At 59.4% G+C, this 26,853-nt stretch overlaps 3 protein-coding genes and 1 long non-coding RNA gene across 20 annotated transcripts in view, besides 25 other annotated features; 2 read left to right on the top strand and 2 right to left on the bottom strand.

Annotated features, from left to right (window-relative positions):
* The window catches only part of MEIOSIN (meiosis initiator), a 31,103-nt gene extending 22,432 nt beyond the window's left edge, over nt 1-8,671 (top strand). For all 4 annotated transcript variants that reach the window (NM_001310124.2, XM_011527571.3, XM_011527574.3 and 1 more), the window contains 8 exons: nt 100-208; nt 1,307-1,407; nt 3,008-3,163; nt 3,544-3,620; nt 5,809-5,997; nt 6,069-6,313; nt 7,468-7,557; nt 8,101-8,671. In NM_001310124.2, the coding sequence (NP_001297053.1) occupies nt 100-208; nt 1,307-1,407; nt 3,008-3,163; nt 3,544-3,620; nt 5,809-5,997; nt 6,069-6,313; nt 7,468-7,557; nt 8,101-8,248 (1,115 nt within the window). In that variant the 3' untranslated portion in view covers nt 8,249-8,671. The remainder of the gene's footprint in view (nt 1-99; nt 209-1,306; nt 1,408-3,007; nt 3,164-3,543; nt 3,621-5,808; nt 5,998-6,068; nt 6,314-7,467; nt 7,558-8,100) is intronic.
* Nucleotides 7,672-8,226: an enhancer, noted in NCBI's record as "H3K27ac-H3K4me1 hESC enhancer chr19:46266800-46267354 (GRCh37/hg19 assembly coordinates)". NCBI's record gives its function as "activates a minimal SCP1, AML or CMV promoter by ChIP-STARR-seq in primed H9 embryonic stem cells {active_cell/tissue: H9 hESC(primed)}" and the evidence as "EXISTENCE:reporter gene assay evidence [ECO:0000049][PMID:30033119]".
* SIX5 (SIX homeobox 5) lies at nt 8,915-13,382 on the bottom strand. The gene is made up of 3 exons (NM_175875.5): nt 12,172-13,382; nt 10,480-11,285; nt 8,915-10,241 (listed from the first exon to the last, which is right to left on the bottom strand). The coding sequence occupies exons 1-3, from the start codon at nt 12,972-12,974 to the stop codon at nt 9,631-9,633; spliced, it is 2,220 nt and encodes a 739-aa protein (NP_787071.3). The 5' UTR covers nt 12,975-13,382; the 3' UTR covers nt 8,915-9,630.
* Nucleotides 10,923-11,137: an origin of replication, noted in NCBI's record as "amplicon J (PMID:20711191); peak of nascent strand synthesis detected by quantitative PCR of lambda exonuclease-digested DNA". NCBI's record gives the evidence for it as "EXISTENCE:nuclease protection assay evidence [ECO:0001106][PMID:20711191]".
* Nucleotides 10,923-17,125: a biological region, named in NCBI's record as "origin of replication in DMPK trinucleotide repeat region".
* Nucleotides 11,101-11,736: an enhancer, noted in NCBI's record as "H3K27ac-H3K4me1 hESC enhancer chr19:46270229-46270864 (GRCh37/hg19 assembly coordinates)". NCBI's record gives its function as "activates a minimal SCP1, AML or CMV promoter by ChIP-STARR-seq in naive H9 embryonic stem cells {active_cell/tissue: H9 hESC(naive)}" and the evidence as "EXISTENCE:reporter gene assay evidence [ECO:0000049][PMID:30033119]".
* Nucleotides 11,801-12,360: an enhancer, noted in NCBI's record as "H3K27ac-H3K4me1 hESC enhancer chr19:46270929-46271488 (GRCh37/hg19 assembly coordinates)". NCBI's record gives its function as "activates a minimal SCP1, AML or CMV promoter by ChIP-STARR-seq in naive H9 embryonic stem cells {active_cell/tissue: H9 hESC(naive)}" and the evidence as "EXISTENCE:reporter gene assay evidence [ECO:0000049][PMID:30033119]".
* Nucleotides 11,926-16,013, top strand: DM1-AS (DM1 locus antisense RNA). Its single transcript, NR_147193.1, has 2 exons — nt 11,926-12,261; nt 15,620-16,013. It is a non-coding gene; the product is annotated as a DM1 locus antisense RNA (long non-coding RNA).
* Nucleotides 12,102-12,231: a silencer, noted in NCBI's record as "silent region_10793". NCBI's record gives its function as "represses an Ori minimal core promoter by ATAC-STARR-seq in GM12878 lymphoblastoid cells {active_cell/tissue: GM12878}" and the evidence as "EXISTENCE:reporter gene assay evidence [ECO:0000049][PMID:35858748]".
* Nucleotides 12,682-12,901: a silencer, noted in NCBI's record as "silent region_10794". NCBI's record gives its function as "represses an Ori minimal core promoter by ATAC-STARR-seq in GM12878 lymphoblastoid cells {active_cell/tissue: GM12878}" and the evidence as "EXISTENCE:reporter gene assay evidence [ECO:0000049][PMID:35858748]".
* Nucleotides 13,143-13,220: an origin of replication, noted in NCBI's record as "IS-SIX5; amplicon G (PMID:22354993); peak of nascent strand synthesis detected by quantitative PCR of size-fractionated DNA". NCBI's record gives the evidence for it as "EXISTENCE:fractionation evidence [ECO:0000100][PMID:22354993]".
* Nucleotides 13,262-13,801: a silencer, noted in NCBI's record as "silent region_10795". NCBI's record gives its function as "represses an Ori minimal core promoter by ATAC-STARR-seq in GM12878 lymphoblastoid cells {active_cell/tissue: GM12878}" and the evidence as "EXISTENCE:reporter gene assay evidence [ECO:0000049][PMID:35858748]".
* Nucleotides 13,262-13,837: a biological region, named in NCBI's record as "ATAC-STARR-seq lymphoblastoid silent region 10795".
* Nucleotides 13,653-13,837: a silencer, noted in NCBI's record as "fragment chr19:46272781-46272965 (GRCh37/hg19 assembly coordinates)". NCBI's record gives its function as "represses an EF-1alpha promoter that drives an FKBP-Casp9 reporter gene in an ReSE screen in phorbol 12-myristate 13-acetate-treated (for megakaryocytic differentiation) K562 erythroleukemia cells {active_cell/tissue: K562(+PMA)}" and the evidence as "EXISTENCE:reporter gene assay evidence [ECO:0000049][PMID:32094911]".
* DMPK (DM1 protein kinase) lies at nt 13,847-26,620 on the bottom strand. 14 transcript variants are annotated; one of them, NM_001424163.1, is made up of 16 exons: nt 26,323-26,620; nt 24,453-24,511; nt 23,908-23,999; nt 23,569-23,652; nt 23,394-23,489; nt 22,623-22,771; nt 22,257-22,350; nt 21,797-22,003; nt 21,457-21,720; nt 19,079-19,164; nt 16,771-16,882; nt 15,901-16,058; nt 15,698-15,795; nt 15,480-15,526; nt 15,101-15,186; nt 13,847-14,770 (listed from the first exon to the last, which is right to left on the bottom strand). In NM_001424163.1, the coding sequence occupies exons 1-16, from the start codon at nt 26,499-26,501 to the stop codon at nt 14,611-14,613; spliced, it is 1,971 nt and encodes a 656-aa protein (NP_001411092.1). In that variant the 5' UTR covers nt 26,502-26,620; the 3' UTR covers nt 13,847-14,610. The 14 variants fall into 14 exon arrangements, with proteins under 14 accessions (NP_001411092.1, NP_001275693.1, NP_001411095.1 ...); NM_001288764.2 differs by having other exon boundaries at nt 15,101-15,190; NM_001424166.1 differs by lacking the exon at nt 24,453-24,511 and having other exon boundaries at nt 23,264-23,408.
* Nucleotides 13,852-13,931: an enhancer, noted in NCBI's record as "active region_14818". NCBI's record gives its function as "activates an Ori minimal core promoter by ATAC-STARR-seq in GM12878 lymphoblastoid cells {active_cell/tissue: GM12878}" and the evidence as "EXISTENCE:reporter gene assay evidence [ECO:0000049][PMID:35858748]".
* Nucleotides 14,092-14,201: an enhancer, noted in NCBI's record as "active region_14819". NCBI's record gives its function as "activates an Ori minimal core promoter by ATAC-STARR-seq in GM12878 lymphoblastoid cells {active_cell/tissue: GM12878}" and the evidence as "EXISTENCE:reporter gene assay evidence [ECO:0000049][PMID:35858748]".
* Nucleotides 14,173-14,233: a protein binding site, noted in NCBI's record as "DM site 2". NCBI's record gives its function as "may negatively regulate DNA replication" and the evidence as "EXISTENCE:protein binding evidence [ECO:0000024][PMID:11479593]".
* Nucleotides 14,335-14,394: a repeat instability region, noted in NCBI's record as "repeat instability region; expansion of the (CTG)n trinucleotide repeat (CAG relative to the plus strand of the reference genome) can be associated with myotonic dystrophy type 1". NCBI's record gives the evidence for it as "EXISTENCE:polymerase chain reaction evidence [ECO:0000082][PMID:1310900]" and "EXISTENCE:Southern hybridization evidence[ECO:0000078][PMID:1310900, PMID:1346925]".
* Nucleotides 14,335-14,396: a tandem repeat, named in NCBI's record as "dystrophia myotonica protein kinase repeat instability region".
* Nucleotides 14,335-14,397: a microsatellite, noted in NCBI's record as "trinucleotide repeat region".
* Nucleotides 14,362-14,521: a silencer, noted in NCBI's record as "silent region_10796". NCBI's record gives its function as "represses an Ori minimal core promoter by ATAC-STARR-seq in GM12878 lymphoblastoid cells {active_cell/tissue: GM12878}" and the evidence as "EXISTENCE:reporter gene assay evidence [ECO:0000049][PMID:35858748]".
* Nucleotides 14,430-14,490: a protein binding site, noted in NCBI's record as "DM site 1". NCBI's record gives its function as "may negatively regulate DNA replication" and the evidence as "EXISTENCE:protein binding evidence [ECO:0000024][PMID:11479593]".
* Nucleotides 14,642-14,721: an enhancer, noted in NCBI's record as "active region_14820". NCBI's record gives its function as "activates an Ori minimal core promoter by ATAC-STARR-seq in GM12878 lymphoblastoid cells {active_cell/tissue: GM12878}" and the evidence as "EXISTENCE:reporter gene assay evidence [ECO:0000049][PMID:35858748]".
* Nucleotides 14,762-15,271: a silencer, noted in NCBI's record as "silent region_10797". NCBI's record gives its function as "represses an Ori minimal core promoter by ATAC-STARR-seq in GM12878 lymphoblastoid cells {active_cell/tissue: GM12878}" and the evidence as "EXISTENCE:reporter gene assay evidence [ECO:0000049][PMID:35858748]".
* Nucleotides 15,721-16,278: an enhancer, noted in NCBI's record as "H3K27ac-H3K4me1 hESC enhancer chr19:46274849-46275406 (GRCh37/hg19 assembly coordinates)". NCBI's record gives its function as "activates a minimal SCP1, AML or CMV promoter by ChIP-STARR-seq in naive H9 embryonic stem cells {active_cell/tissue: H9 hESC(naive)}" and the evidence as "EXISTENCE:reporter gene assay evidence [ECO:0000049][PMID:30033119]".
* Nucleotides 16,775-17,125: an origin of replication, noted in NCBI's record as "IS-DMPK; amplicon D (PMID:20711191) and amplicon C (PMID:22354993); peak of nascent strand synthesis detected by quantitative PCR of lambda exonuclease-digested DNA". NCBI's record gives the evidence for it as "EXISTENCE:nuclease protection assay evidence [ECO:0001106][PMID:20711191]".
* Nucleotides 21,105-21,838: an enhancer, noted in NCBI's record as "H3K4me1 hESC enhancer chr19:46280233-46280966 (GRCh37/hg19 assembly coordinates)". NCBI's record gives its function as "activates a minimal SCP1, AML or CMV promoter by ChIP-STARR-seq in primed H9 embryonic stem cells {active_cell/tissue: H9 hESC(primed)}" and the evidence as "EXISTENCE:reporter gene assay evidence [ECO:0000049][PMID:30033119]".
* Nucleotides 23,682-23,851: a silencer, noted in NCBI's record as "silent region_10798". NCBI's record gives its function as "represses an Ori minimal core promoter by ATAC-STARR-seq in GM12878 lymphoblastoid cells {active_cell/tissue: GM12878}" and the evidence as "EXISTENCE:reporter gene assay evidence [ECO:0000049][PMID:35858748]".

Consider the following 26,853-nt stretch of genomic DNA (forward strand, 5'->3'; position numbering starts at 1 on the left):
GGGTGTGTGGCAGAAGCTGGCACCCCTTTGTCCCCTGCTTCTGGGCTTCCTGGAATTTGGTCCAGTCCCCAGGCATGGTCATCCTGATCTGCCCCTTAGGCTGCTGGTGCCAGGGCAGTGTCCAGGATGACGCACCTTTCCCTGCGCTCCTGGCTCAGGAAGATGTGGCGAGGATCCATTTTCTCAACAAGACCCAGCCCCATCCCAGGTAAGGGCGTCCCCAGGGCACTGAGTGAGTGGTGCTGAGGGGTTTGGTCTGGCGTGGGTGAGGGGTAGTGGGAAGACAGGCCAAGTCACGTCCTCTGCGGGTGCCCCTTGAGCACCAATGGAGGCCCAGCTTTGTGTCTGCCATTGTGAGCTCGCAGGAAAGCCTGACTTCCCATTTCCCAGACATGGTCACAGCTTCCTCACCAGTCTCTTTGCCTCACCTGTTGCCCCTCCATCCCATCCTCATGTGACCACATGGCTTTTCCAACACAGAGACGTTGACCACGGAGTTTGTGGCTTAAAGCCCTTCCTCAGGCCTGCAGCATAGAGTCCAATATTTTTGTTTGTTTGTTTGTTTGAGACAGGGTCTCACTCTGTCGCCCAGGCCAGAGAGCAGTGGCACAATCATAGGTCACTGCCGCCTCAACCTTCAGGGCTCAAGCAGTCCTCCTGCCTCAGCTTCCTGAGTAGCTGGGACCACAGGTGCACACCACCACACCCAGCTAATTTTTTTATGTTTATTTTTTGTAGAAATGAGGTCCCCCTATGTTGCCTAGGCTGGTCTTGAACTCGTAGGCTCAAGCAATCCTCCCACCTCAGCCTCCCAGAGTGCTGGGATTATAGGTATGGGCCACTGCACCCGGCCCGGATATTTCACCTGGCCTTTGAGACCTTCAGTGGCCCCCAACTCACCTCGTCAGCCCTCTCTCCTGCCCTTCACCCATGACTCTTATACTTCACACTGCCACACATTTGCCATTCCCCAGAAGCCCTGCGCCAGCCCCTCTGAGCTTCTCACATTCCAGTACTTCTTCCTGGATAGCCTGCTTCCCTGTGCCCCTGGAAAACTGCCCATCCCTCAGGCTGAGCCCACTGCTCTCCACTGGCTCATCATCCTCCAGCGCCCTCGGTCACAGCACTGCTTACGGGCTGGGCTATCCTCATGAGACTGTAAGCTCCCTGAGGATGGGAGCCTCGACTGACTGAGCTTTACACCCCCAGCACTCCCCCAGGGGCCAGTGCAGAGTGCCAAAGGGGCCCCATAGCAGTTTCTAGCCCAGAGTCTGTGAGTCTGACTCTGAAACTCCACCTCTTGCAGGCAGAAGCTGGTGTTCTATGATTCCAGCGAGGATGTGGACAAAGGGTCCCTAGACGCTGACCCTTGGCTCCCTGCCTGGACCCCAGAGAACAGCCCCCAAGGTGACTGCAACTCTGTCTCTCCTCCTTGTAGGCTGGTGTGGGCCTTCCCATACTTTCAGTCTGAGGATGTCTATGGAAGAGAGGAGGCGGGAAAGGGAATGGAGATCCCCTAAGCACAGGGAAGGCAAACACACAGTGCACCTGCCAGCTCTCCGCCACCGCTGCCACGGAGGCTTGACAATCAATCACCACTCTTTCCTTGAGCCCAGACATGGCCTCAGAATCATTCTGGGTCTTTTTGGTTTGTTTGTTTTCTTTTTTGAGATAGGGTTTCACTCTGTCGTCCAAGCTGGAGTACAGTGGCGCAGTCTCAGCTCACTTCAACCTCTGTCTGCTGGGTTCAAGTGATTCTCCTGCCTCAGCCTCCCGAGTAGCTGGGATTACAGGTGCCCACCACCATGCCCAGCTAATTTCTGTATTTTTAGTAGAGATGGGGTTTCACCATGTTGGCCAGGCTGGTCTCAAACTCCTGACCTACGGTGATCTGCCCGCCTCAGCCTCCCAAAGTGTTGGGATTACAGGCATGAACCACCCCTCCGAACTCTTTTTGTGTTTTTGTTTTGTTTTTTCTTTTGAGACAAGTTCTCGCCCTGAGGCTGGAGTGCAGTGGCGCAATCACAGCTCACTGAGGCCTCCAATTCCTGGACTCAAGGGATCGTCCTGCCTCAGCTTCTCAAAGTGCTGGGATTACAGGCACGTGCCCCTGCTCCCGACCTCAGAATCCATTTTTTTTTTTTGAGACGGAGTTTCACTCTTGTCTCCCAGGCTAGAGTGCAGTGGCACTATCTCAGTTCACTGCAACTTCTGCCTCCCAGGATCAGGTGATTCTGTGTCAGCCTCTGAGTAGCTGGGATTACAGGTGTGCACCACCACGCCTAGCAAATTTTTATATTTTTAGTAGAGACAGGGTTTCACCGTGTTGGCCAGGCTGGTCTCGAACTCCTGACCTCAGGTGATCCACCTGCCTCGGCCTCCCAAAGCGCTGGGATTATAGGCGTGAGCCCCCGCATCTGACCTCAGAATCTTTCTTGTTGCAGAGCTGCAGGTAGTTATAATCAGCCTATGGGACTTTGCACATTATGATATTGATTTTTCTTTTTTTTTGGCCATCCCTGACATAATGCCAAACATCATTTTGCTTCATTTCTTCTTCTTTTTTTTTTAAATTTTGAGACAGGGTCTCACTCTGTCACCCAGGCTGGAGTGCAGTGGCACGATCTCGGCTCACTGCAACCTCTGCTCCTGGGTTCAAGCGATTCTCCTTCCTCAGCCTCCTGAGTAACTGAGATTACAGGCACGTGCCACTACCCCCAGCTAAGTTTTGTATTTTTTAGTAGAGACGGGGTTTCACCATGTTAGCCAGGCTGGTCTTGAACTCCTGATCTCAAATGATCCGCCCACCTTGGCCTCCCAAAGTGCTGGGTTACAGGCGTGAGCCATCGCAGCCGGCTGCCTCTTCATTTCTGTGATCAAGAATTCAAAATGAGAAACTGAGATTCGCTTTCCGTAGCATCAGGCACTATCTCCTCAATGCCAGCTGCTGTGCTAGGGCAGAGGGTGATCTCTGGCCACACCCCTGAGTCTGCTGTTCCCTTTCCAGGGAGCCCACTGTTCCTGGGGCCTCCCCAGATTGATGTCTGGAGTGGAACAGGCCACCCAAGTGAGATCCTCGGGCTCAGCCCTAGCCTTTTCAGCTCCCCAGGGAAACTGCTGCCAGACGAGATCTTGGAGGATGACATGGAGTACCTGACCCAAGGTGAGGCCCAGGCCTGGCCCTGATGCTTAGTTCATTCGGGAAACATACGGTGCCCAGGCCTGCGCTGGGCCATCCTGGGTGCCCGGGGTGAATCCTGCCCTGGCCCTGCCTCAAGGAGCCCACGGCCTAGTGGGGGAGCAGCCACAGGCTGGTGTGGTGCATGGGTGGCTTTAGAAGCCCATAGCAGGACTTGAGCTCACTCTGTGTGTTGGAGGTGACCCAGGGGAGTGGGCTGTGAGCGGGATTTGGACCTAGGGTGGGAGATCCTGAAGGAGAACGCCAGAGACGGGGACTCCGGCTAGCAGGGACGGTGTGGCTGAAGCTGGGCGGTGTGGGAGAAGCATTTCCACTCTGGCTGCCCCTCTGGTCTCCCTCCCTAGCGGCTTTCTTTGAAGAAGTGTGCTTAGATCTGGAGTCTTCACCTTCAGCCTACACGCAGGAGGCTCCACAGGAAAAGGTAGACATCCTCTGCCCCTCTGTCCACAGACACATCCATCCGTCTTTCCACACACGTCACTCATGGCTTCATTCACTCATCCACTCCCTCACCCTTTCAGCCACCATCTACCCATCTGTCCTTCCACTCATGCGTCTCCTCATCCTTAAAACCGCCCCCCGACCCTCTCTGCGCTCACTGGTGGCCACCAGATGCCGGCTCTGTGCTGGGCACGTGGAACGAATTGGACAAAATGGATAAAAAAGGATAAAAGCTGCCAGGTGCCCATAGAAAAGAAAACTCACATCATTTTATTCATTTATTTTATTTTATTTTATTTTATTTTATTTAGACTGAGTTTCCCTGTTGTCGCCCAGGCTGGGGTGCAGTGGTGCGATCTCGGCTCACTGTAACCTCCGCCTCCCGGGTTCAAACAATTCTCCTGCCTCAGCCCCCCTAGTAGCTGGGATTACAGGTGCCTGTCACCACACCCGGCTAATTGTGTATTTTTAGTAGAGATGGGGGTTCACCATGTTGGCCAGGCTGGTCTCCAACTCCTGACCTCGAGTGATCCGCCCACCTTGGCCTCCTAGAGTGCTGGGATTACAGGTGTGAGCCACCGTGCCCAGCTTCCCACATCATTTTACAACTACTCTACGAAGCAGGGTCTCCTGTGGCCCCATTTTACAGATAAGGAAATTGAAATCAAAAGACTAAGCTGGGCGCGGTGGCTCACACCTGTAATCTCAGCAGTTTGAGAGGCTGACGTAGGCGGATCACCTGAGATCAGGAGTTCAAGACCAGCCTGGCCAACATGGGGAAACCCCATTTCTACTAAAAATACAAGAAGTGTCCGGGCGTGGTGGCTCACGCCTGTAATCCCACTATTTTGGGAGGCCGAGGAGGGCAGATCACCTGAGGTCAGGAGTTGGAGACCAACCAGTCTGGCCATCATGGCGAAATACTATCTCTACTAAAAATACAAAATTAGCCGGGTGTGGTGGTACGTGCCTGTAATCCCAGCTACTCAGGAGGCTGAGGCAGAAGAATCGCTTAAACCTGGGAGGCGGGGGTTGCAGTAAGCCAAGATGGCACCGTTGGACTGCAGCCTGGGCAACAAGAGCGAAACCCAGTCTCAAAAAAGGAAAAGAAAAAGAAAAAGAAATTATCAGGGTGTGGCCGGGCGTGGTGGCTCATGCCTATACTTCTAGCACTTTGGGAGGCTGAGGCGGGCAGATCACCTGAGGTCAGGAGTTTAAACCTAGCTTGACCAATATGATGAAACCCCCTCTCTACTAAAAATACAAAATTAGCTGGGCGTGGTGGTGGGCACTTGTAACCCCAGTTACTCAGGAGTCTGAGGCAGGAGAATCACTTGAACCCAAGAGGTGGAGAATGGAGCTGAGATGGTGCCATTGCACTCCAGCCTGAGGGACAAGAGTAAGACTCCGTCTCAAAAAAAAAAAAAAGAAAGAAAAGAAAAAAAAGAAAAGAAAGGAAGAAAGAAAGAAAGACAGGGTCTTGCTTTGTTGCCCAGGCTGGAGTGCAGTGTCACCATCATAGATCAGTGCCTTGAACTCCTGGGCTCAAATGACCCTCCCACACCACCATGCCCAGCTGGTTTTTTAAATTATTTTTAAATTTAACTTAATTCAATTTCTTTTTTTTTTTTTGAGACAGAGTCTCACTCTGTCACCCAGGCTGGAGTGCAGTGGTACGATCTCGGCTCACTGCAACCTCCGCCTCCTGGATTTAAGCGATTCTTGTGCCTCAGCCTCCAGAGTAGCTGGGACTACAGGCGCCCACCAACATACCTGGCTAATTTTTTAGTATTTTTAGACAGAGTTTCGCCATGTTGGCCAGGCTGGTTTTGAACTCCTGACCTCAGGTGATCCTCCTGCCTCAGCCTCCGAAAGTGCTGAGATTACAGGCATGAGCCACTGCGCCTGGCCTATTTTTTTTTTTTTTTTTTTTTTTTTTTTGTAGAACAAGGTCTCTCTATGTTGCCCAGGCTGGTCTGTAACTCCTGGCCTCAAGCAGTCCTCCTGCCTCAGCCTCCCAGAGTGTTGGGGTTACAGGCGTAAGCCACCACACCCTGCCAATCTGAGCTGCTGCTAATGCTCATGTTATGTCCTAGAAAAGCAGTACTGGGGGGATGAAGGGGCACCACTTGTCTCCCCTCCCATCTTTCTCCCTCATCATGCCCCAGGACACAGCCTCCAAGGCCCCCAAAGACCCTCCTGAGTCCCACAGCCTGCACCGGTCCTCAGTCTCGCTGGACCACTGCTACCTCTCGCTGAGCGGGAACAGCAAGGCGCCATCCAGCTCCAGCTCCAGCTCCAGCTCCAGCTCCAGCTCGGAGGACAGCGACTCGGAGCCCCTGTGGAAGCAGCGAGAGGTGAGAGACACGGCCGCATGCCAGGGCCAGCAGGGCCTCCTTCCTCTCTCACCACCCTCTCCCTCCCCCAGGATATGCAGGCCAACCCTGTGGGCACGCCGGGCTCCAGCGAAGAGGACGAAGACACCACATGGACCCCCACCCGGCTGGCCTCACCCCTGCTGGCAGCTGAGAAAAAGGCCACGAAGGGCCAAGTAGCCAGGGCCCCTGTGAAGCCCAAGGAGAAGAAGAAAGGCCCCTGCCCACCCCAGATGAAGAAGAAGTGTGTCAACGGCTTCATCATGTTCTGCAGGATGAACCGGAAGCAGTACATCCGGTGGGTAGGGGGTCGTCTTTGGCCCTGGGGAAGGCCCTGGCTTCGTTCTCTGCCCGCAGCCTGGCCATGCCGCTCCTCACAACTGTCTGACACTTTTTCCCCCTCCGAGACCCCACAAACCCTTCGTGGACCACAGTTCTTCCCCAGAACTGAACCCGGCCCCATTGTATTGGACAGGGTCCATCCATTGTCAGCGCTGAAACCCAATTCAGGCTTTAGACTTCAGAAAAAAAGGAGTTTTTTTTGTTTTGTTTTGTTTTTTGAGACAGAGTCTCACTCTATTGCCCAGGCTGTAGTGCAGTGGCACAATCACAGCTCACTGCAATGTCTGCCTCCCGGGCTCAAATCACTGCAACCTCTGCCTCTCAGATTCTCCTGCCTCAGCCTCCTGAGTAGCTGGGATAACAGGCGCGCCATCAGCTAATTTTTGTATTTTTAGTAGAGACAGGGTTTCACCATGTTGGCCAGGCTGGTCTCGAATGCCTCACCTCAAGTGATCTGCCTGCCTCGGCCTCTCAAATTGCTGGGATTACAGGTGTGAGCCATCAGGCCCAGCAAGAAAAGAAAATGAATTGGCTTATATAACCTAGAAAACAAGGGCGGGTATAGACTGCCTTGAGACATAGCTGGTTTTAGGGCTCACACAGGCTGTCTGGAATCTTTGTCCTTTTCACCCAGTTCCTCTGTCTTCCGGGCTGGCTTCATTCTCTGGCAGGTGGGGTCACCCCAGGAGGCACAGGCTCGGGTCCTGTCCCCCACCCAAGCGACCCCGGGAGGAGGAGAGGTCTCTAAGGTTTTAAGCAAAGTCCTTGGGACTGACTTTGGTAGATCCGGTGCCAACCCTGAACCAGTCACTGCCAGGCCTGGAGCCAGGGGATGGGGAGGCCCCCCCCAAGCCACAGTGGAAAACAGCTAGTTCCTTTACAGGAAGATCCAGATGTGGGGGCCAGGAGCGGTGCCCACAGGTCCCCTGCACTCTCCTGGGACACCAGGTGCCCCCTTGTGAACAGCCGCTGAGTCCAGCTCCCTCTGCCTCCTCAGCTCCAGAGGGTGGTCTTGGAGGCCTTGTAGACCCACAAGGCTAGGAAGGGTCTGAGTTCTCAGTCAGGGTGTCCTGCAGACCTCTCCTTACCTCCTCCTCCTTCCTGTCCCAGATCCTGCCCTGGAACCGCTTCCACAGCTGCCACCAAGGAGCTGGCCCAGCTGTGGCGGGTGATGACCCAGCAGGAGCGGAGGCCATACTGGTGAGAGGCTCCGGCCCCGAGGTGTGGGTGGGGGGTGGAAGAGCCTCCCTACCCCGGAACCCTGCTCTGTCTCTGGAGCCTTGGGTGTCATGGCATGGGAGACTGGGCCGAGGAATTTGCGTGTTGCCCCTTCTTATGAAACCCTTGGGGGTGACACAGGTGTAGGGGTACCCCACCACAGCTAAGCTGGGGAACAGCTGAGCCCAGACATGGACCCCTGCCTCAATTCTTTTGCTGTCTCTGCCACACGACTTTCTCGGGGCGTGGTCTGATTTTCCTGTCGCTTGGCCACCTCGACTCCCCCGAATCCTGTCCCCTCCACCTTCAAGGAGCTGCCACCTGCCCTGGCTCCTGACTTTGAACACATCCCAGAGCCCTTGGCCGAGTCCCATCTTACTGACTGGGACTTGGTGGACCCAAGGCTCGCCCAATAGAGGCTAAAACGGTGGCCCAGGCCCCTGCGGGGACACAGGATTGGGAGTGGTACAGGGATGCCCGGGAGGCGAGTGAGGAAGCCAGGCCATCCTGCCACCGTCTCCCCAGCACCAAGGCTCGCAGGTTCAGCCGCCAGCACAACCGCATCGTGAAGCAGGACGGCTCCAGCAGCGAGGCTGAGGACTGGGAGACGCCAAAGCCCTTCTACCAGCTGCTGGCCGAGAAGGCCTTGCCGCTGCCCCCGCACCTCCAGTGAGAGGGCGGCCCCTCGCCTCGCTCCCCTCACCCCTCATGGCAACCGCGGCTCTTGCTGGAAGCCAGGACCCATCGATGAACTTGTCCCTCCTGGGCCTCCAGCCCCTGAGAATGCAGGTCCCATGGGACTGGGGAGGGGGGCACTGATTAGCCCCAACCGCTGGGCACATTTGCCTGGAGCACCAGAGTCACCCACAGCTGCCTTGATTCTCCCCCAGGCTTAGGAAGGAAACCCAAAATGAAATGCGGGGTGTCGGAAGGTGAAGTTTACCCACCCCTCTCCCCTTCCCTTCCCCACCCCAGAGCCACTCGGTTGCAACCCTGTTCATGCTCACCTCACCCTACTCCTCCCTCTCCTGTTCTATTTTTAGACTATTTATTGTTTTAAATAAAATAAAGCAAGTGGAACCTTTGTTACCAGCAAGAGAGACAAGGGCAGGCCCTCCTGCGTCCCCCTGCTGCCCCACTGGGGTGCTCCGTCCACCCTCATCTGGAGGCCTGTGGCTTGCAAGAGGCCTCAGTGCCACCCCCTCCCCAGCCACTCTGTGCATCTGAATGCAAACCCCTCTTCCCCTCGGGAGGCAGCAATGGGAAGGCCAGGTCTCGAGGTGGGCTCTGTGTTCAGCGCTGCTTTGGACAGACACTGGAAGGCACCCCAGACCCCTGGTGGTGGTGTAATCCGATAACTTTATTTTAATTGAAAATGGAGGCATAACATGTCCTAGAAAAATAAAGATTTAGGATACAAAGGAGACACAGCGGCAGGGCTGCCCCCAGGGATGAGGGAATCTTTGGTCTGGGCCGGATAATGAGGACAAGGGCTTGAGTCGAGGGGAGCTGGTGAAGGAAGACCCCCGTCTCCCCACAGCTGCCCCACCCCCCGCCCCTGGCAGGAAATGCCACACTGGGGAGGGTCTCCAGTCTCAGGGGCGCGGGGCTGCCTGTCCTCCACCTTCGGATTCCAGGCAGTTGTGACAACACCAGCTATCGGCAGAGCTATTAATAGTGTTTCAGGGAGTGACAGGGAGAGGGCTCTGGGGGCTGGAAGTCCGGCCCTGGGGCAGGGTGTTCCGCTTACAGCTAGTACCAAGTGGAGGGGGCAGGGCCCCTGAGTCAGGACCCTGAGTCCCCCACGTATATGGCAGGGCACAGCATGGGGAGGGCTGTAACAGAGAGGCCTCCCATCCAAAGGGGGATGGAGACCTGGACAGGAGGTGGCCGGGGATACAACCCCCAGCACCACCAGGGCTTGGAGAGGCCACCCAGGCAGAAGGATGTGGTGACTGGGGTCTTCAGCAACCGCATTTCTGGGGCTCCCCCCTCCCATTCCTGTCCCTGCGTCTTCAGCACCAATGTCGGGAGAGGCCACGGGGCCACACTGGGTCACAGTTCCAAGGGCTCCTCCACAGGCACCGACTGGAGCTGGGTCAGAACCTTGGCCTCAGCTTCCAACCCCTCGTCAACCTCACCCCCTGCGGTGGCCCCCAGGAGCAGCCCCTCAGGGTCGGGGTCTGGCAGCCTCAGCACGGTGTGGGGGGCCTGTGTCCCCAGCCCCTTTTCCGCTTCCAGCAGCCCCTCTGTTCCTGCGCTTAGTTCCAGCCCTGCTGACCAGACAGGCACGGCCGCGGGTGACAACATCAGCCCCTCTGGTGGGGGCGCCGGGAAGTTGGGCAGGAGGCCAGGGGAGTCAGGGGAGAAGGGCAGGCTGGTGCTGGAGGTGGTGGCAGCGGCGGGGGGTGGCTGCTGTGCAGAAAGGGTGCCTAGGGCGTGAGCCTCTGGGAGAGCAGGGCTGGGGGCCACCGGGAGGCCTCCCTCAGGCACGGAGATGGCCGTCTCTGGCTTCAGTGGCAGGGCCAGGCCGGGGGCTGGCGGCAGGACCTGGGAGACGAGCATGCTGGTGGGGAAGGTGGCGGTGAGGATGATCTTGCCCTGCTGCAGGGCCACACCCGTCACGATGGGGCTGCCAGACACAGGGTTGGCCAGGAGGAAGTTTCCTGTGGGGAGAGAGGGACCGAGCGCAGGTGAGAGCCAGGAGAGCAGGCCAAGCCAGAGAGAAGTGGAGACTGTGCAGCTGGAGGGCGGGCGGAGGGAGCCTTGTGGTGGGCCTTGGGGCACTGGGACTTGCCAGGGATGAGATGCCCTCCAGGAGCCCAGGGACAGCCCCTCCCTCTCCGAGATGACTGCACCCCTCCCCGGCTCTCACCTAGGCCTGAGGGAGGGAGATGGGGGTACCTGGGGCAGTGGCCGAAGGCAGCTGCAGGGCAGTCACGCCCACCCCGGAGTTGATGAGGTGCACATTGGCAGGGCCTGCTGCAGCTGCCACCTTCACAGGGCTGCCTGGCCCGGCTGCCAACAGCTGCAGGGGCCCCACAGCCTGGGGCAGGGTCACCACCTGTGAGGTGGGTACTACCTGGGGCAGGTTCAATAGTGGGGAGGTGGGGCTCAGGCCCGTGGGATACCCCGGGGGTGGGGAGAGCGGTACCACTTGTGGGGCAGCCACAGCAGGCACTGGCCCCGGGGGCAGAGGAAAGGTGGCAGCCGTCGGGGGGCCAGGCACCACTTGGGCCAGGGGCCCCAGGACCTCCTCTCCAAGGGCTGGTCCCGGAGCAGCCACCTGGGCCCCTTTGGTCTCAGGGGCCTCCGACTGAGCCTCCTCCAGCCGCACCTCCCCTGTCTGAGGGTCCAGGACCAGAGAGGTCTTGGTCTCGCTGGCCCCCTGAGGGCTGGGCTGCGGTGGAGGGGCACCCCCGCCCCCAGTGAGCAGCAGCGGGCCCAGGCTGGAGGCCTCGCCCAGGGCCAGGCCGTTGATGATGACGGGGCCCCCGTTGAGGAGCACTGCTGGGGAGCCGCTGGCTGCCAGGAAGCTCCCGTTCACCAGGATGGAGGAGGAAGCCGGGCAAGGCGCGGGAGGGCCGGTCCCTGCCAGGAATATGGAGCCCTGGGCAGCGGCCTCGGCGGACACTGGGGCCGCCCCTCTCTCCAGGTCCTCAGGACTTCGGCTGGACTCGTCCTCAGTCGTGGGATTCCCATCAGACTCGCTGGCCGGAGAAATGGCTGTCAGCTGGGGTCCCTTAGCCTGTGGGGCCTCCCGCATAGCCAGCCAGCTGCTCCCCCACCTTTCCCTGGCCCAAGTTTCGGTGGATCATTCCAGGGGTTATGACGCCTCTCTGAGACCACTCCAAACTCCAGGGCCTTTTGCAAGCCCTGCGTGGACACCACTGCAGAGAAGCGCTGGGGAGGGAAGAGGCCCTTGCTCTCCCCCACCTCGGCCTCGGGTCCCCAGAGGCTGAGCTCCCAGGTTGCCCTAAAAGTTCCTTGGTTGGGCGGAAAGCGGGCGAGTGGCCTGGAGAGAGGGAGCAGCAGCCGCCAGCCCAGTTCCCGGTGCCCTCCCCGCGGGGCGTCAGAGAAGGGAGAGGCCGGCGCTCAGGGTGGGAGGAGAAGGGTTTGGGTTACAGGGAAACCGGAGCTGGGAAAGGTTCACGTTTCACAACAAAGGCAGAAGACGGACCACGCCGTCCGGGCCCGGAGGGAGTGTGGGGGCGGGTGGGTAAGAGTAACGGTCAGTGAAGAAAGGGGGCTGGGAGGCAGCCCCTACGCGGAGTGGAGTGGCCACAGGCCCTGTCCTTTTTCCTCAGTCCCTCTAGTGCCCCCCGCAGTGTGATTCCCCAACACCGATGGGATTTGGGAAGGAGCTCGGAATGGAGCCGCTGGAAGAGGAGACGCGTGCGGGGAGAGGGCCCGGGCGGGTGCCTGTCCCGTCCACACTTAGTCCCCGCGCCCCGCGGGCGCCTGAGATTGTGAGCTGGTCCCGGGAGATGTCCGAGGACCTCGGCGCGCCGGCCCCAGCAGTGGGCACGGGGGAAGAGGGCTGGTGGACGGGATGTCCCCGGGAGAGCTGGACTTGCGCCGCCCGAGGCCCCTCACCTCTTGCAGGGCGCGCCGCCTCCGGCCCCGGTCCGGTCGCGCTGTCGCCGGTTCTTGAACCAGTTGCTGACCTGCGTGAGCGACAGGCCGGTGAGTGTGGCCAGGCGGCGCTTCTCGTCCGGCGTGGGGTAGCGGTTGCCGCGGTAGCAGGCCTTGAGCGCTGCGCGGGAGCGCTCCTTGAAGCAGTAGACTGTCTCCTCGCCGTCCCAGATGGTCTTGGGCAGCGGGAACTTCTTGCGCAGTCGATACTTGTCCACTGCGCCAAGCGCGCGGCCGCGGGCCCGCTCGGCCTCATGGTAGCGCGCGCGCAGGTAGAGGTCCTGCAGGAAGGCGTGGTGGGCGGCGGGGAAGGGGCGGCTCTCGAGTAGCCGGTAGAGCTCGGCGTACTCGCCCCGCTGGAAGGCCACCAGGGCCCGCGCGCGCAACACCGGGTCGCTGCCACGTAGGCGCTCGGCCGGGGGCAGTGCGCCCAGGAAGCGGCTCAAGCGGCCGGCGTGGCCCGCCTGGAGCAGCGCCTCGCAGACGCACGCCACCTGCTCGGGCGAGAAGCGGAGGCCCGTGGGCGGTTCGGAAGCGGCCTCGGGGGGCGACCCGGGGACGCCCGGGGATCCCGGGCCCTCAGCTCCCGCAGCCGCTGCGCCCGCCCCGGCCCCGGCCGCCGCCGCCGCCTCACCCTCGGCCGCCTGCAAAGTCTGCAAGAGCTGGCGCGCTTCCTCCTCCTCCTCTTCGGTCGCCGCCGCCGCCGCCACCGCCTCCCCCCCAGCCGCCGGCCCCGCGCTCGGCTCCGCAGGCAAGGTAGCCATGTTTTGCAACTTTGGGAAGTTCCTCCCTCCCTCTCTTCCTCCCTCGGGCTTTCCCCAGCCTCCTCCCCCACCTGTCCCCCCTTTTCGCCCCCACTCCCCGCTCTTCTCGATCTTCTTTCTGGCCGACCCTGCGCCCCACGCCGGGAAGGCGAGATCCAGCTCTCCACTCGGGTCTCTGTCCCCTTGTGTGTGTCCGTCCCCCTCCCGTCTGTCTGTGATTCTCCCTTTGTTTTCCCTCCGCCTCTGGCCGCGCTTTCTGCCTCCCCCCAGCGTGTGCTTCTGGCTCAGGGCCTCAGTTTCCCCATCGGGACAACGCAGAAGGTAACGGGCCGTCCAGGAGGACTAAGGGCGCGAAGCCTCCGCCCCGAGACTGAGCTTCTGCACGCCTCCGTCTCCAGGGTCCTCTGCAGGCCCCCACATTCCCCATCTCGGCCTGCGCTCCGCCCCTCGGAATTCCCGGCTCCGCAGGGGGGGCGGGTCTGGCCGGGAGGAGGGGCGGGGAACGGGCTAGAAAGTTTGCAGCAACTTTTCTCGAGCTTGCGTCCCAGGAGCGGATGCGCGTGGCGTGCGCAGGCGCAGTGGAAGGAGGATGGCCGCGCGCGCTGCCAGCCCAGCCCCCTCTTCTCGACGCTCGGTGGCACAGCTGGGCCACAGCTGGGCGGGGGCGGTGCCTCCGGGTGGCCCGCTCGCCCTCCTATTGGCCGGACGCCAAAGCCCCGCCCCGTGGCTTTTCCTCCCCCAACCCTGATTCGGCCGCTTCGCATCCCGCTAGCTCCTCCCAGACCTTCGGCCGCCTCCACACGCCTCCGGATTGGCCCGCTGCGGAGCCTCCGGCCCACAACGCAAACCGCGGACACTGTGGAGTCCAGAGCTTTGGGCAGATGGAGGGCCTTTTATTCGCGAGGGTCGGGGGTGGGGGTCCTAGGTGGGGACAGACAATAAATACCGAGGAATGTCGGGGTCTCAGTGCATCCAAAACGTGGATTGGGGTTGTTGGGGGTCCTGTAGCCTGTCAGCGAGTCGGAGGACGAGGTCAATAAATATCCAAACCGCCGAAGCGGGCGGAGCCGGCTGGGGCTCCGAGAGCAGCGCAAGTGAGGAGGGGGGCGCGGGATCCCCGAAAAAGCGGGTTTGGCAAAAGCAAATTTCCCGAGTAAGCAGGCAGAGATCGCGCCAGACGCTCCCCAGAGCAGGGCGTCATGCACAAGAAAGCTTTGCACTTTGCGAACCAACGATAGGTGGGGGTGCGTGGAGGATGGAACACGGACGGCCCGGCTTGCTGCCTTCCCAGGCCTGCAGTTTGCCCATCCACGTCAGGGCCTCAGCCTGGCCGAAAGAAAGAAATGGTCTGTGATCCCCCCAGCAGCAGCAGCAGCAGCAGCAGCAGCAGCAGCAGCAGCAGCAGCAGCAGCAGCAGCAGCATTCCCGGCTACAAGGACCCTTCGAGCCCCGTTCGCCGGCCGCGGACCCGGCCCCTCCCTCCCCGGCCGCTAGGGGGCGGGCCCGGATCACAGGACTGGAGCTGGGCGGAGACCCACGCTCGGAGCGGTTGTGAACTGGCAGGCGGTGGGCGCGGCTTCTGTGCCGTGCCCCGGGCACTCAGTCTTCCAACGGGGCCCCGGAGTCGAAGACAGTTCTAGGGTTCAGGGAGCGCGGGCGGCTCCTGGGCGGCGCCAGACTGCGGTGAGTTGGCCGGCGTGGGCCACCAACCCAATGCAGCCCAGGGCGGCGGCACGAGACAGAACAACGGCGAACAGGAGCAGGGAAAGCGCCTCCGATAGGCCAGGCCTAGGGACCTGCGGGGAGAGGGCGAGGTCAACACCCGGCATGGGCCTCTGATTGGCTCCTGGGACTCGCCCCGCCTACGCCCATAGGTGGGCCCGCACTCTTCCCTGCGCCCCGCCCCCGCCCCAACAGCCTACAGCTGTTGTTAGTCCACTCGCACGCCTCGAATCCCGTCCGAACTCGTCATTGGCTGCTTCCTAGCGGCCTGTGTTGATTGGCTGCCCGAAGATCCGCCCTCCTGCCGTGGGCCCAGCCCCGCAAATGCGCAGCTAAGCGGGTGGCAAGGGGCGGGTGGAGCGCGGGGCGCGACGGCGGAGGGGGGCGTGGGCAGCCGGACGTACCCTGGCAGGGAGCAGCAGGTGGCGGCGGTGCATGGGGCCTGGCCCCACCAGCGGGCACTGGCCCACAGCCACGGCCGGGGGGCCATCTAGCTGGAGAGAGAAGGGACAGGTGACCCGATCGGAGCCCAGCCCAGCCCTCAGCGGTGGGGCGAGAGACAGCGAGGGGAATCGAGGTTGGGGAGGTTATCTAGGGAGATCCCGGAGGGAATCTGGTGAGGCCTGAACGGAGGGAGATCTGGGGCTGAATAAAGGGCTTCTGCCCTCTAAAGTCGCAAAGACGTAGGGTGAGCCCTATATCTGGACGGGGAGACCAGGAGCCAGGGAGGGGATCTGCAGAATGGGCAGCAGGTCTGAGGCAGGGGAAAGAGAGGGGTCTTACATGGGAAGGTGGATCCGTGGCCCGGGGACTGGGGACCCCCGTGACAGCTGGAAGGAGAAGAAAGAGGCATAGGGCGCGTGGAGGGGCGAAGGAGGGCGGTGGCGCGGCGTGCCCCAGCGTGGGTCCCTTCCCTCCTCCAGGTGTCTATACACGCCCCGCGGAGCAGACGGCCCACCTCCTCCCGGTCCTCCGGGGAAGGGGACACATGAGGGACTCACCTGTGGCTCCCTCTGCCTGCAGCAACTCCATCCGCTCCTGCAACTGCCGGACGTGTGCCTCTAGGTCCCGGTTCCGAGCCTCTGCCTCGCGTAGTTGACTGTGGGGAGGTAAGGACGGTGAGTCCGTCCGGGCCGGACGAGAGGGGATGCCAAGGGTTGCCACCGGCCCGCATCCCGGCCCCGGCCCCGGCCCCGATCCCGACCTGGCGAAGTTCTGGTTGTCCGTGCGGATGGCCTCCATCTCCCGGCTCAGGCTCTGCCGGGTGAGCACCTCCTCCTCCAGGGCTTCCTGGAGCTCCCGCAGCGTCACCTCGGCCTCAGCCTCTGCCGCAGGGACAGCCGCTGGAACTGCCACTTCAGCCTGTGTATGGGGACCAGGCTTAAGGCTGCCTGTGGCTCCTGGAAGACTCAGGACTTGGGCACTGGTTCCAGGCTAGGAATCCTTGTTTATCCCCTACTCCTCCGTCCCCTCAACATTTCTGGAATCCCCATAGCTCCTGCAATGATCCAAGCCCCCTCCCTTCCCTACCTCCCTCAGCCCCATCCCTGAGTCTGGTCCTCTAAATCTACACAGGGACCAGAGGGCTGGTGCTCAAACACTAACACAACCTATGTCCCTCTGCTGCTCAAAATCCCTCCAGCTCCCTAATGCCCTCACGACAAAAGGCCTTGCTGGGTTTTGTTTCCTGCTGGCCTCTCCAGCCTTCTCAGGAATGATTCAGCCAAACTACCTTTCAGGAACAAATCAGGATTCCCACCTGCCCAAGGCCTTTGCCCTGGAGGCTCTCGCCTGACCACTTGGCACCTTTCCTTCCATGGCTTGTTTCTCCTTCACCAGCGCTCAGCTCAAAGATCGACTTCTCAGATCCCCAGCAACACACACACCCTTACTTAATGCCCCACTGTAACTACAGAGACCGTCCCATGTCTGAAGTAACCTCGTCTCTCCGTGGTTTCTGTCTGCTTCTGTTCAGGAAGTCCCTAGAGGGCTCTACAGTGCACGCCACCCGGGAAGCCCTCACCTTTTCTCTCCCAATTGTCCCTGACGGACCCCCTCCCCTCCACCAACTTACTGTTTCATCCTGTGGGGACACCGAGGGCTCCAGGCTGGGCGCTTGCACGTGTGGCTCAAGCAGCTGCTCGGCCTCCAGTTCCATGGGTGTGGGGCCTGGGACCTCACTGTCCCTGGGGAGAGGAGGAGGGAGTGGGGAGGGAGACAGAATGCTGATTCTCTGGTGGAGAACCAGAACTTCTGGCCTGTGGGTAGGGGCAGCTGCTTCCAAGACCTCCTGATTTGAGGAAGGGGAGCAGCAGAGCGAAGAGAACAGAGTCCCAGGTAGGCCAATAGCCCCTCCTCTGCTTAGGAAAAGCCCTGCCCCTCTCCTGGCCTTGGGCCCCTGGGAGCTGCTCTTTCTAAACCTTCTGCAGGGACTTGGGGTCCAGACCCCCATGTTCTAGGGTCAGCTCATCTCCTCCCTTGACATGTGACCGCTGCAGACCCCTCTTCTCAGGGCCTCAGGACAGGGAGGCCGACCTGATGGGGAGACTGCTTGGCTCTGGCCACCTCCACAGATGTGGTCCTAAGACTGGGCATGGGACCCCAAGATGGCAACTTGAGGTCAGCACACCCCACTCAGCTGTGGGAAGGGGACAGCTCCTCCCTGGGGTATGAAGTGGCTGTCCCCTCCAACCCAGCAGTCCCTCCTGTGGGAACACGGCTCAGGACCTAGCTATCCTGGACATGCGCCTGGGTTCTAATAGAGGATGGGTTCAATCCTGACCCACCGTTCAGGCCCCGCAGCGGTTCAGAATCAAGCTGGAGTTCATTAATGATAAGGTATAGTATGTGTAATGTTGTCCAGTAATAAAAGCTGACTAGAAAACCAACTGTTCTCTTAGACAAAGTAGCATGAGGAAGGGGAAAAAAACAAACCAAAAAAACACCTGTTCTCCACTATTTAAACATGTGTCAGTACACGTGTGAGCCAGGGACCACTGCCATCTGGTGAGCTCACGAGATATCAACTTCCTTTTCCTTATCTGTATTTTCTAATTTACTTGTGATAAGCAATGCATTATTTGTGTAATTAATACTTTTGTTGAGACCAGGTCTCACTTTGTTGCCTAGGCTGGAATCTATCATGGCTCACTGAAGCCTCAAACTCCAGGCTCAAGTGATTCTCCTACTTCAGACTCCTGAGTAGCTAGGACTGCAGGCACAGACCACCATGCCTGGCACGATTTTTTCAATTTTTTGTAGAGACAGGGTCTCATTATGTTGCTCAGGCTGGTCTTGAACTCCTGGGCTGAAGCAATCCGTCCACTTCAGCCTCCCAAAGTGCTGGGATTCCAAGCGTGAGCCACCATGCCCAGCCTGTAAATTAGTACTTTTTTTTTTTTTTTTTTGAGATGAAGTTTCACTCTTGTTGCCCAGGCTGGAATGCAATGGCACGATCTCAGCTCACCACAACCTCCCCCTCCTGGGTTCTGATTCTCCTGCCTCAGCCTCCTGAGTAGCTGGGATTACAGGTATATGCCACCACGCCTGGCTAATTTTGTTTTTTAGTAGAGATGAGGTTTCTCCACGTTGGTCAGGCTGGTCTCGAACTCCTGACCTCAGGTGATCCACCCACCTCATCCTCCCAAAGCACTGGAATTACAGGCGTGAGCCACCACACCCGGCCTAAATAAATACTTTTTTTTTTTTTTTTTTGAGACGGAGTCTTGCTCTGTCGCCCAGGCTGGAGTGCAGTGGCATGATCTCGGCTCACTGCAAGCTCCGCCTCCCGGGTTCATGCCATTCTCCTGCCTCGCCTCCCAAGTAGCTGGGACCGCAAGCGCCCGCCACCATGCCCGGCTAATTTTTTTGTATTTTTAGTAGAGACGGGGTTTCACCGTGTTAGCCAGGATGGTCTCGATCTCCTGACCTCATGATCCACCTGCCTTGGCCTCCCAAAGTGCTAGGATTACAGGCGTGAGCCACCGCGGCCCGCCTAAATTAATACTTTTAAATGGCCTTATTGTTATATGGCTGATTCAAAGAATTTGCATTCTTTTACAACTGATTGTAAAAGTCTAAACTTCATATTTTCCAAGTTCTGAAGTCCTGTGGCTCTGTGTACTACAGACGTAAAAGTTAATGGTTACAAGATTCTGGGAAGCCCAGTCTGTGACTCTGAGGTTTTAAAATTCAATCTAACATTTTGAAGTACATAGATCTGAAAATTTAAGGTCCTCCAACTCTGGCCTCTTAGGAGTCTTTGGGCCCAAAACAGTAAGGTTCCAAGACTGATCCTGCAACTCCATTGGCTGCCAAGGAGCAGGACCCAGGAAGCTCAAGCAGCCTCGTGGCCCCTGGAGGCCGTCCAGGGCAGTGCTTACCTGAGGGCCATGCAGGAGTAGGAGTAGCCCACAAAAGGCAGGTGGACCCCTAGCGGCGCACCTTCCCGAATGTCCGACAGTGTCTCCTGCGCAAGACACACAGATGTGAGCAGCAGTCGTCAGGGCGGGCCCCTCACTGCTTTTTGATCTTGGCTTACATGTTCCCCCCAAACCAGCCCCAACTCAGGGCTTATCTAAAGTGGCCCCTCCAGCATTTTTTCTTTTTTCTTTTTCTTTGATACGGAGTCTCGCTCTGTTACCCAGGCTGGAGTGCAGTGGTGCAATCTCAGCTCACTGCAACCTCCGCCTCCCAGGTTCAGGCGATTCTCCTGCCTCAGCGTCCTGAGTAGCTGAGATTACAGGCGCCCTCTACCACGCCTGGCTAATTTTTTATATTTTTGGTAGAGACGGGGTTTCGCCACGCTGGCCAGGCTGGTCTCCATCTTCTGACCTCAAGTGATCCGCCTACCTCAGCTGTTGTAGTCCCAAACTCTGGGCTCAAGCAGTCCTCCAACCTCAGCCTCCCAAAGTGCTGGGATTACAAATATAAGCCACTGTGCCCAGCCCAGTTCTGTTTTTTTTTTTTAGATGGAGTCTTGCTGTCTCCCAGCCTAGAGTGCAGTGGCACAACCCCAGCCCACTGCAAACTCTGCCTCCCAGGTTCAATCAAGCGATTCTCCTGCCTCAGCCTCCTGAGTAGCTGGCATTACAGGCATACGCCACCAAGCCTGGCTAAATTTTGTATTTTTAGTAGACACAGGGTTTCACCATGTTGGCCAGGCTGGTCTTGAACTCCTGACTTCCAGTGATCTGCCTGCCTCAGCCTCCCAAAGTTCTGGGATTACAGGCGTGAACCACCTTGCCCAACCCTTTTTTTTTTTTTTTTTTTTGAGACAGAGTCTCACTCTGTCACCCAGACTGGAGTGTAGTGGCATGATCTTGGCTCACTGCAAACTCTGCCTCCCAGGTTCAAGCAATTCTCCTGCCTCAGCTTCCCCAGTAACTGGAATTACAGGCACCCGAGACCACACCCAGCTAATTTTCTTGTATTTTTAGTAGAGACGGGGTTTCACCGTGTTGGCCAGCCTAGTCTCAAAACTCCTGATCTCATGACCCACCGGCCTTGGACTCCCAAAGTGCTGGGATTACAGGCATGAGCCACAGCGCCCGGCCGCGGTCCAGCCTATTTTTTTTTTTTTTTTTTTTTTTTTCTGAGACAGAGTCTCGCTCTGTCGCCCAGGCTGGAGTGCAGTGGCACGATCTCGGCTCACTGCAAACTCTGCCTCCCGGGTTCACGCCATTCTCCTGCCTCAGCCTCCTGAGTAGCTGGGACTACAGGCGCCCGCCACCACGCCTGGCTAATTTTTTGTATTTTTAGGAGAGATGGGGTTTCACCGTGTTAGCCAAGATGGTCTCGATCTCCTGACCTCGTGATCCACCCGCCTCGGCCTCCCAAAGTGCTGAGATTACAGGCGTGAGCCACCACGCCCGGCCAGCCCAGCCTATTTTTTAATTTCAGTTTATCTTATTTTTGAGACAGAGTCTCTCTCCGTTGCCCAGGCTGGAGTGCAGTGGCACAATCACAGCTCACTGCAGCCTTGACCTCCTGGGCTCAAGCCCACGTCGGCCACCCTAGTAGCTGAGTATACAGGCATGCGCCACCACGCCCAACCAATTTTTAAAACATTTTTGTAGAGACGGGGGTCTCACCACATTGCCCAGGCTGGTCTCGAACTCCTGGGCTCAAGCAATCCACCCACTTCGGCCTGCCAAATTGCTGGGGTTACAGGCGTGAGCCACCGTGCCTGGCCCCATCATTTTTTCTTGTATCCTGTTGCTTCCCTTCAGGGCACCTGCCACACTCTCCATAATTCTCTAATTCTCTAGACTGCAACTGGATGAGGGCAGGGACCAGAGCTCATCTGGTCCGTGCTGGATCCCCAGTATTGTTCAGCAAAAGGGCACCCAGAGCCGAGCAAGCATGCCATGACAGCTTGTTACACGGTGAAGAGAGACGGCCTAAGGGAGGAGGAGTCCTCTCCTGCTTCTCATCCCTCCAAGTCTCAGCTCAGATAGCTCCCCACTCCAGAAAGCCCTCCAGGACCTTCCTTGCTGAGTCAGGAGTCCCCCACCCCCTGCACTCCATTGTCTCAGCCCTGATCACTCTGGGGCCTTACTGTCTGAAGACTGCTCTGTGTTCCCCCACTGGACTGTAAGTCTAGGTCACTGCTGGGTCCTCAGTAGTAGATGGGCACAGAGCAGGTGCTCTGGGGAATGAGTGATTCAGGACCCCAGAAGGTAGGCACTGTCCTTACTCCAACTTTATGGAGGGAGCATGGGGAGGTTCCCGCAGCCGAGCAGGGGCCACAGGTACCTACCCCGCCCCCGCTCACCATGGCAGTGAGCCCGTCCTCCACCAAGTCGAAGTTGCATGTGTCGGTGGCACCTTCGAAATCCGGTGTAAAGGGGGGCACGCTGTCCCGGAGACCATCCCAGTCGAGGCCAAAGAAGAAGGGATGTGTCCGGAAGTCGCCTGCTCCACCCCGGCCCAGCCGTGTCTCCGGGGGACACAGCAACCGCTGAATGAAGTCTCGAGCCTCCTCAGGGACCCCTTCGTCCACCAGCGGCAGAGAGAGGTGCTCCTGCTCAGAGGGAGAGGAGGCGATAGCCTGGGAGCGCCTACCGGGAGAGGCCAGGTCTCCCTGCGGCCGTGCTCACCTTGTAGTGGACGATCTTGCCATAGGTCTCCGCCGTGGAATCCGCGTAGAAGGGCGTCTGCCCATAGAACATTTCATAGGCGAATACACCCAGCGCCCACCAGTCACACTCGGGCCCGTAGCTGCCTGTCCCAGGCCCACCGCCCACAGCCTGCAGGATCTCGGGGGACAGGTAGTCTGGGGTGCCCACAGCCACCAGCGACCGCACCTGGACCAAAAGGAGCAGAGCGAGGCTTGGGCCCACCCCTCTGGGCCCACCAGCTCTGGGCCCTCCTTCCAACCACTCCCCAAATGCTTAGCCCCTCCCTCTGCCTGGTCTAATACTCCGCCACACAGATGCACACTTAAGCCTGGGTCACACCACCTCTTTTCCCCTCCAAATCCAGTCCCGCTCCCACACTCTGTGCCTTCCATCCCTCATCAGCAGCCCCAGTTGCTCTGTGGCCAGGGCACTGGCTCACCGTTCCATCTGCCCGCAGCTTGAGGCAAGAGCCGAAGTCGGCCAGGCGGATGTGGCCACAGCGGTCCAGCAGGATGTTGTCGGGTTTGATGTCCCTGCACGGAGGAAAAGAGAAGGGTGGGATAAATGAACCTCCCTTCTGTGGTCCCACCAGGCTCCGCCCCTCCGGGCAGTGCCACCTGGGACCCCACTTCCTCGGGTTCCGCCCCTGTAGGGCTTCTACAGTTCTGACCCCTACTCCCAGGCACCCCCCGGTGGGCCCCAACCAAGAAGGTCCCTCTCCAGGCCCTGGCCTCTCTGGGCTCTGACCTTCCAAGAACCCGGCCAGGGAACAAGCTTGCTATCCCCTCGGCCATGCTGCACCCACCTGTGCACGTAGCCAAGCCGGTGCACCGAGTCTATGGCCATGACAATCTCCGCCAGGTAGAAGCGCGCCATCTCGGCCGGAATCCGCTCCCCAAACTTGCTCAGCAGTGTCAGCAGGTCCCCGCCCACGTAATACTCCATGACCAGGTACTGAGAAGGGGTTCGTCATGGGTGGTTGGTAGTCCCCTGAGGCCCTGATCCATCACGGATGGCTGGGACAACCCCTCCCAGAGACACCCCATCCTTGGGCAGAGACCTGCAGCCCCAGCCCAGAGATAACCATAGAGATCTGCCGGGCCAAATCAGAGACCACCTGCGGCCCCCGCCCCCGCCCCTCAAAAAAAAACACAAACAAAAAAACTTTCCTGGGATGTCACTGGGCAGATTCACTCCCCCTGAGATGTTCTGGGAAAGAGAACCCAGAGGCCACCCAACACCCAGAGAATAGGTCCCAGACACTCCTTCCCTAGGCAGTGGCCCCGTTAGAATTCCTGAAGACCTATCCCATTCCAGGTAAGAGACCCCCCGCAACAGAGACATCTTTATAAGAGTCCCCCAGATCACCCCAGAAACGGGCAGTGAAGGACACCATCCCCGTCTCAGATAGGGAAGGCCCCTCATCCACCTGACACACCCTCTTACCGCACACAGACTTTCCCACAGACGTTTCCGGGCAGCACCCCCAATCCTAGAGCTTCCTCTCCCCACCTCCTCGTCCAGTGACAGCACGGGCTCTTGTCCCTCTTCCTAGTCACCCCGGCCCGGAGCTCACCAGGTAGTTCTCATCCTGGAAGGCGAAGTGCAGCTGCGTGATCCACCGCCGGTCCCCATTCACCAACACGTCCCTCTCCTCACGGAAGCACGACACCTGCAGGGCACCCGGAGGAGCTGCAGCCGGAGACGGGGCGCGGATCCTCAAAGCCCCCCACGTCCGCCCAGCCCCTCACCTCGCCCCTCTTCAGCATGTCCCACTTGTTCATGATCTTCATGGCATACACCTGGCCCGTCTGCTTCATCTTCACTACCGCTACCTGAGGTCGAGATAGTGAGACAGAGTGGAGACGGCGGGAAAACAAAAGGGCTCGCCCAGACCCAACTCCACCCGCTTCTGCACCCAGCCGTGGCCCCGCCCCACCTGCCACACCACGCCCATTGGTCCCAAGCCCCGCCTCCAGCCCAGCCCTAGGTTCTAAGGCTCGGTCATTCATCAATTTCTAAGGCCCCGCCCCAACCCCTATGCCCCGCCCACCACGAGTCAAGTCAGGCTCCCGCCCGGTTCGGCTTACCTCGCTGAACGCCCCGCGTCCGATCACCTTCAGAATCTCGAAGTCGTCCCTCTGCAGTCGGACCTCCTTAAGCCTCACCACGATGGGCTCCGCTGGGGGGGTGGTGGGGGAAAAGAACCGAGGGTCACCAGAAAGGGCACTGGAGACAAGGGGGAAAGCCCCACCCTCTGTCTGTCTCCCCTTCTCTCTGCCTCTCAGCTTCACCCTAGGACTGTCTGCTTCCCAGGGGCTTCCCCACATAAACACCGTGTAAGGTTCTGGGGGCCAAAAATGCCCTCCCATAGAGGTGAGATGCCTGAGAAGCCCTTTGCGGGACAGGGCATTGGCCCAGAGGGCTCCAAGGGTGTGCAGGATGGTTAGGGTGGGGTAACGGAGTCTGCAGAAGGACAGACCCTAAAGAACAAGGGGAGAAGGAAATAAGACCCAGTTCTTCCACCTTCCACCCTGACTCCAGGTGACAGTTCAGGTGCAGCCAGGGCCCCACCCCCACGTTCTCATGTAGAATGTCCTGGGTAACGGCCCAGACGTGGGGTTGTATCCAGTACCTCTAGATTCAGATGCAGGTGGTTCTTGAACCACACTTTGGAAAACCCTGGATTTGGGGCTGGGGGAAGGAACAGGACAGGGAGACAAAGGTAGCATGGTCACATATCCCAGACTCAAGTGCTCCGGTCCAGCCCATCTCTCAGTCCTCCAGGAGGAGTGCTTTAGTCCTACCCCTTATTTACAGATGACAATCAGGCCTCTCAGAAGTCAAGGTCCTATGACTAGGAATGTTAAACTGGGCAGCCTGGGTGGGGGACCAGCTGGGGTGGAGGCTTGTGGCTCAGGGACTGTGGGGACAGGGAGGCCTGGACTCCCGGGGGTGGAAGAAGTGGAGGCAGGATGGAGAGAGGGATGGGTATGGGAGGGGAGGGAAGGAGAGGAGACAGTGGGTTCTGGAGGAAAGAGAGGGGTTCCGGGGGGTTCCGGGAGAGTGGGCCAGCAGGGACGAACCAGCCAGGGCTGAGGACGGGGGAGGGAGGAGAGAGCCAAGACATTGAGCCCTTTTAAGGCAGCAGGAACCCTGGCCCCCTCCCCCGCCCCAGGCCTGGCAGGGGAGGGGCCGCGAGATGCAGCTCGGGCCACAAAAGGAGTGCTCCTCCCGGGAGCGCCAGACCCCTACCCCACCCGGTCTCAGTTTACCCTGCCAACCCAACTTCATCCTCTACTAAAGGGAGGCCAGGAGAGTCATTAGGGGCTGTGGGAGGTTGGGAGAAGGTTTTTCCAGAGGCTGAATGGCCTGGCCCTTCTTGGCCTCCACCTTCCCATCTGTGAAATGGGAGGAGGAGGGAAAGGAACCAGGCCTGGGTCAGAAAGAGATGGACACAAGAGGAAGCAGGGGAAGGCGGAGAAACAGGAAACAAGTGTCACACACAGTTTGTTACACACAGGCCAAAAACCAAACACCAGTCACTGAGGGCCAGACATATGAGGGCCAGAGGGGCAGGGTGCTGGGAATGAAAGAAACCAGTGACCAGTGAGCCCGAGTCCTGGGCTTGGGGAGGAGGTGGGCAGACAAGGCAGCTGGCAGAAGCGGAAGCATCCTCCTTCCAGCCCTGGCCCCAGGCCCTGGAAAGCCCTTGCAAGAAGGGGTTTTGTGGGACAGCTGGAAGGTTGGAGGCCCTGGGCCAGGAGAACTAAAGGACGCAGGGACCCGGGGTGGCGGGAATGGTGGCTGACCCACACGGCTCATAGGAACCGAGACTTTGGGGCTGGGGGTGGGGGTGGGTGCAGAACCTACAAAAGAAGGAGACACACCCAGAAGAACCCAAAGTTGTCCCTCCTGGATCGCAGAGGAGGGGGCACTGGTGGCGCCTGTCTGCAAAGCTGGTTCTCCCACAGGGCCCGCGTGAGTCACCGCCCTCCCAGTGCCTGGGCACCTGTTGGGGCAGCTGGAGAGGCTGGCGCCGAACACCTGCCTGTCGGCTGCGCCCCTGGCAGCTGCCCCATGCTGGCCCTCCTGGCTTGCCCCAGGCCACAGGAAACCAGGGGAGAGGGCCATAGAGCCCACTTTTGGGGGGAGGGTCCTAGGAGAGGGAGCTCCCAGCATGACCCTGACCCTGACCCTGAGGCGGGGTGCAGAGAGGCCATGGGAGGCTGTTGGCAGCCTAGCCTGCTGTGACTCCTAAGCCATGGCTCTGAGTCACAGCCACCCTAGCCTCTGCTGACCTTACTCTGCCCCTCCAGAGTGGTGGCATAGGACAGAGAAATGTTGCCCCAGGGCCCAGGTCCACACTCTGAGCCCCAGGATGGGAGGATCTCCCCATGCCCATCCTGCCATCCTGCCCCCCCAACAGCCAGGCCTCTGTGCCCAGACCTGTCTCCTGCCCCACCCCCACCCCATCTGCAGGAGCCCCGAGGGTAGGCACTCACCCCACTGCAAGAAGTCGGCCACGTACTTGTCCTGGGCCAGTTCGGAGGCGCCCAGCTCCTGGTGGACGCCCAGGAGAAGGTCGAGCAGGGGCTCCAGCCCCAGGAAGCCCGGGTCCAACACCAGCTGCTGGAGCCGCCTCAGCCGCACCTCGGCTGACATGTTGGACAGGCAGCACCATGGCCCCTCCCCGGGCCGGGGGCTCGGGGTCCTCCTGTCACAGGGCCTGGCAGCCCCTGTCCAGGCCCTGGAGCCCTGGCTGCATGTCTGCCTGTCCCTGGCTGTCCCCTGGGCCTCTCTGGCCACTTCTCTCTGCGGCCGGCCGAGGCCTCCTCCCCTTCTCCCCACCCCTTGGTCCAGCCCCCCTCCCGCCTCCCAGCCTTAACCCCTCACAAGCCAGCCCCCCAAGCTCCCTCCTTCCAGGGCCCTTCAGAACCCTTCAGTGCTAGAGTAGGGGGAATGCATGGAGAATCTCAGCTGTCACACTGTCACCCCAATAAAAAGGTAGAGCACAGAGGAAGCCACAGGTGTGA

This window comes from Homo sapiens, chromosome 19 (assembly GCF_000001405.40).
Source record: "Homo sapiens chromosome 19, GRCh38.p14 Primary Assembly".
NCBI lineage: Eukaryota > Metazoa > Chordata > Mammalia > Primates > Hominidae > Homo > Homo sapiens.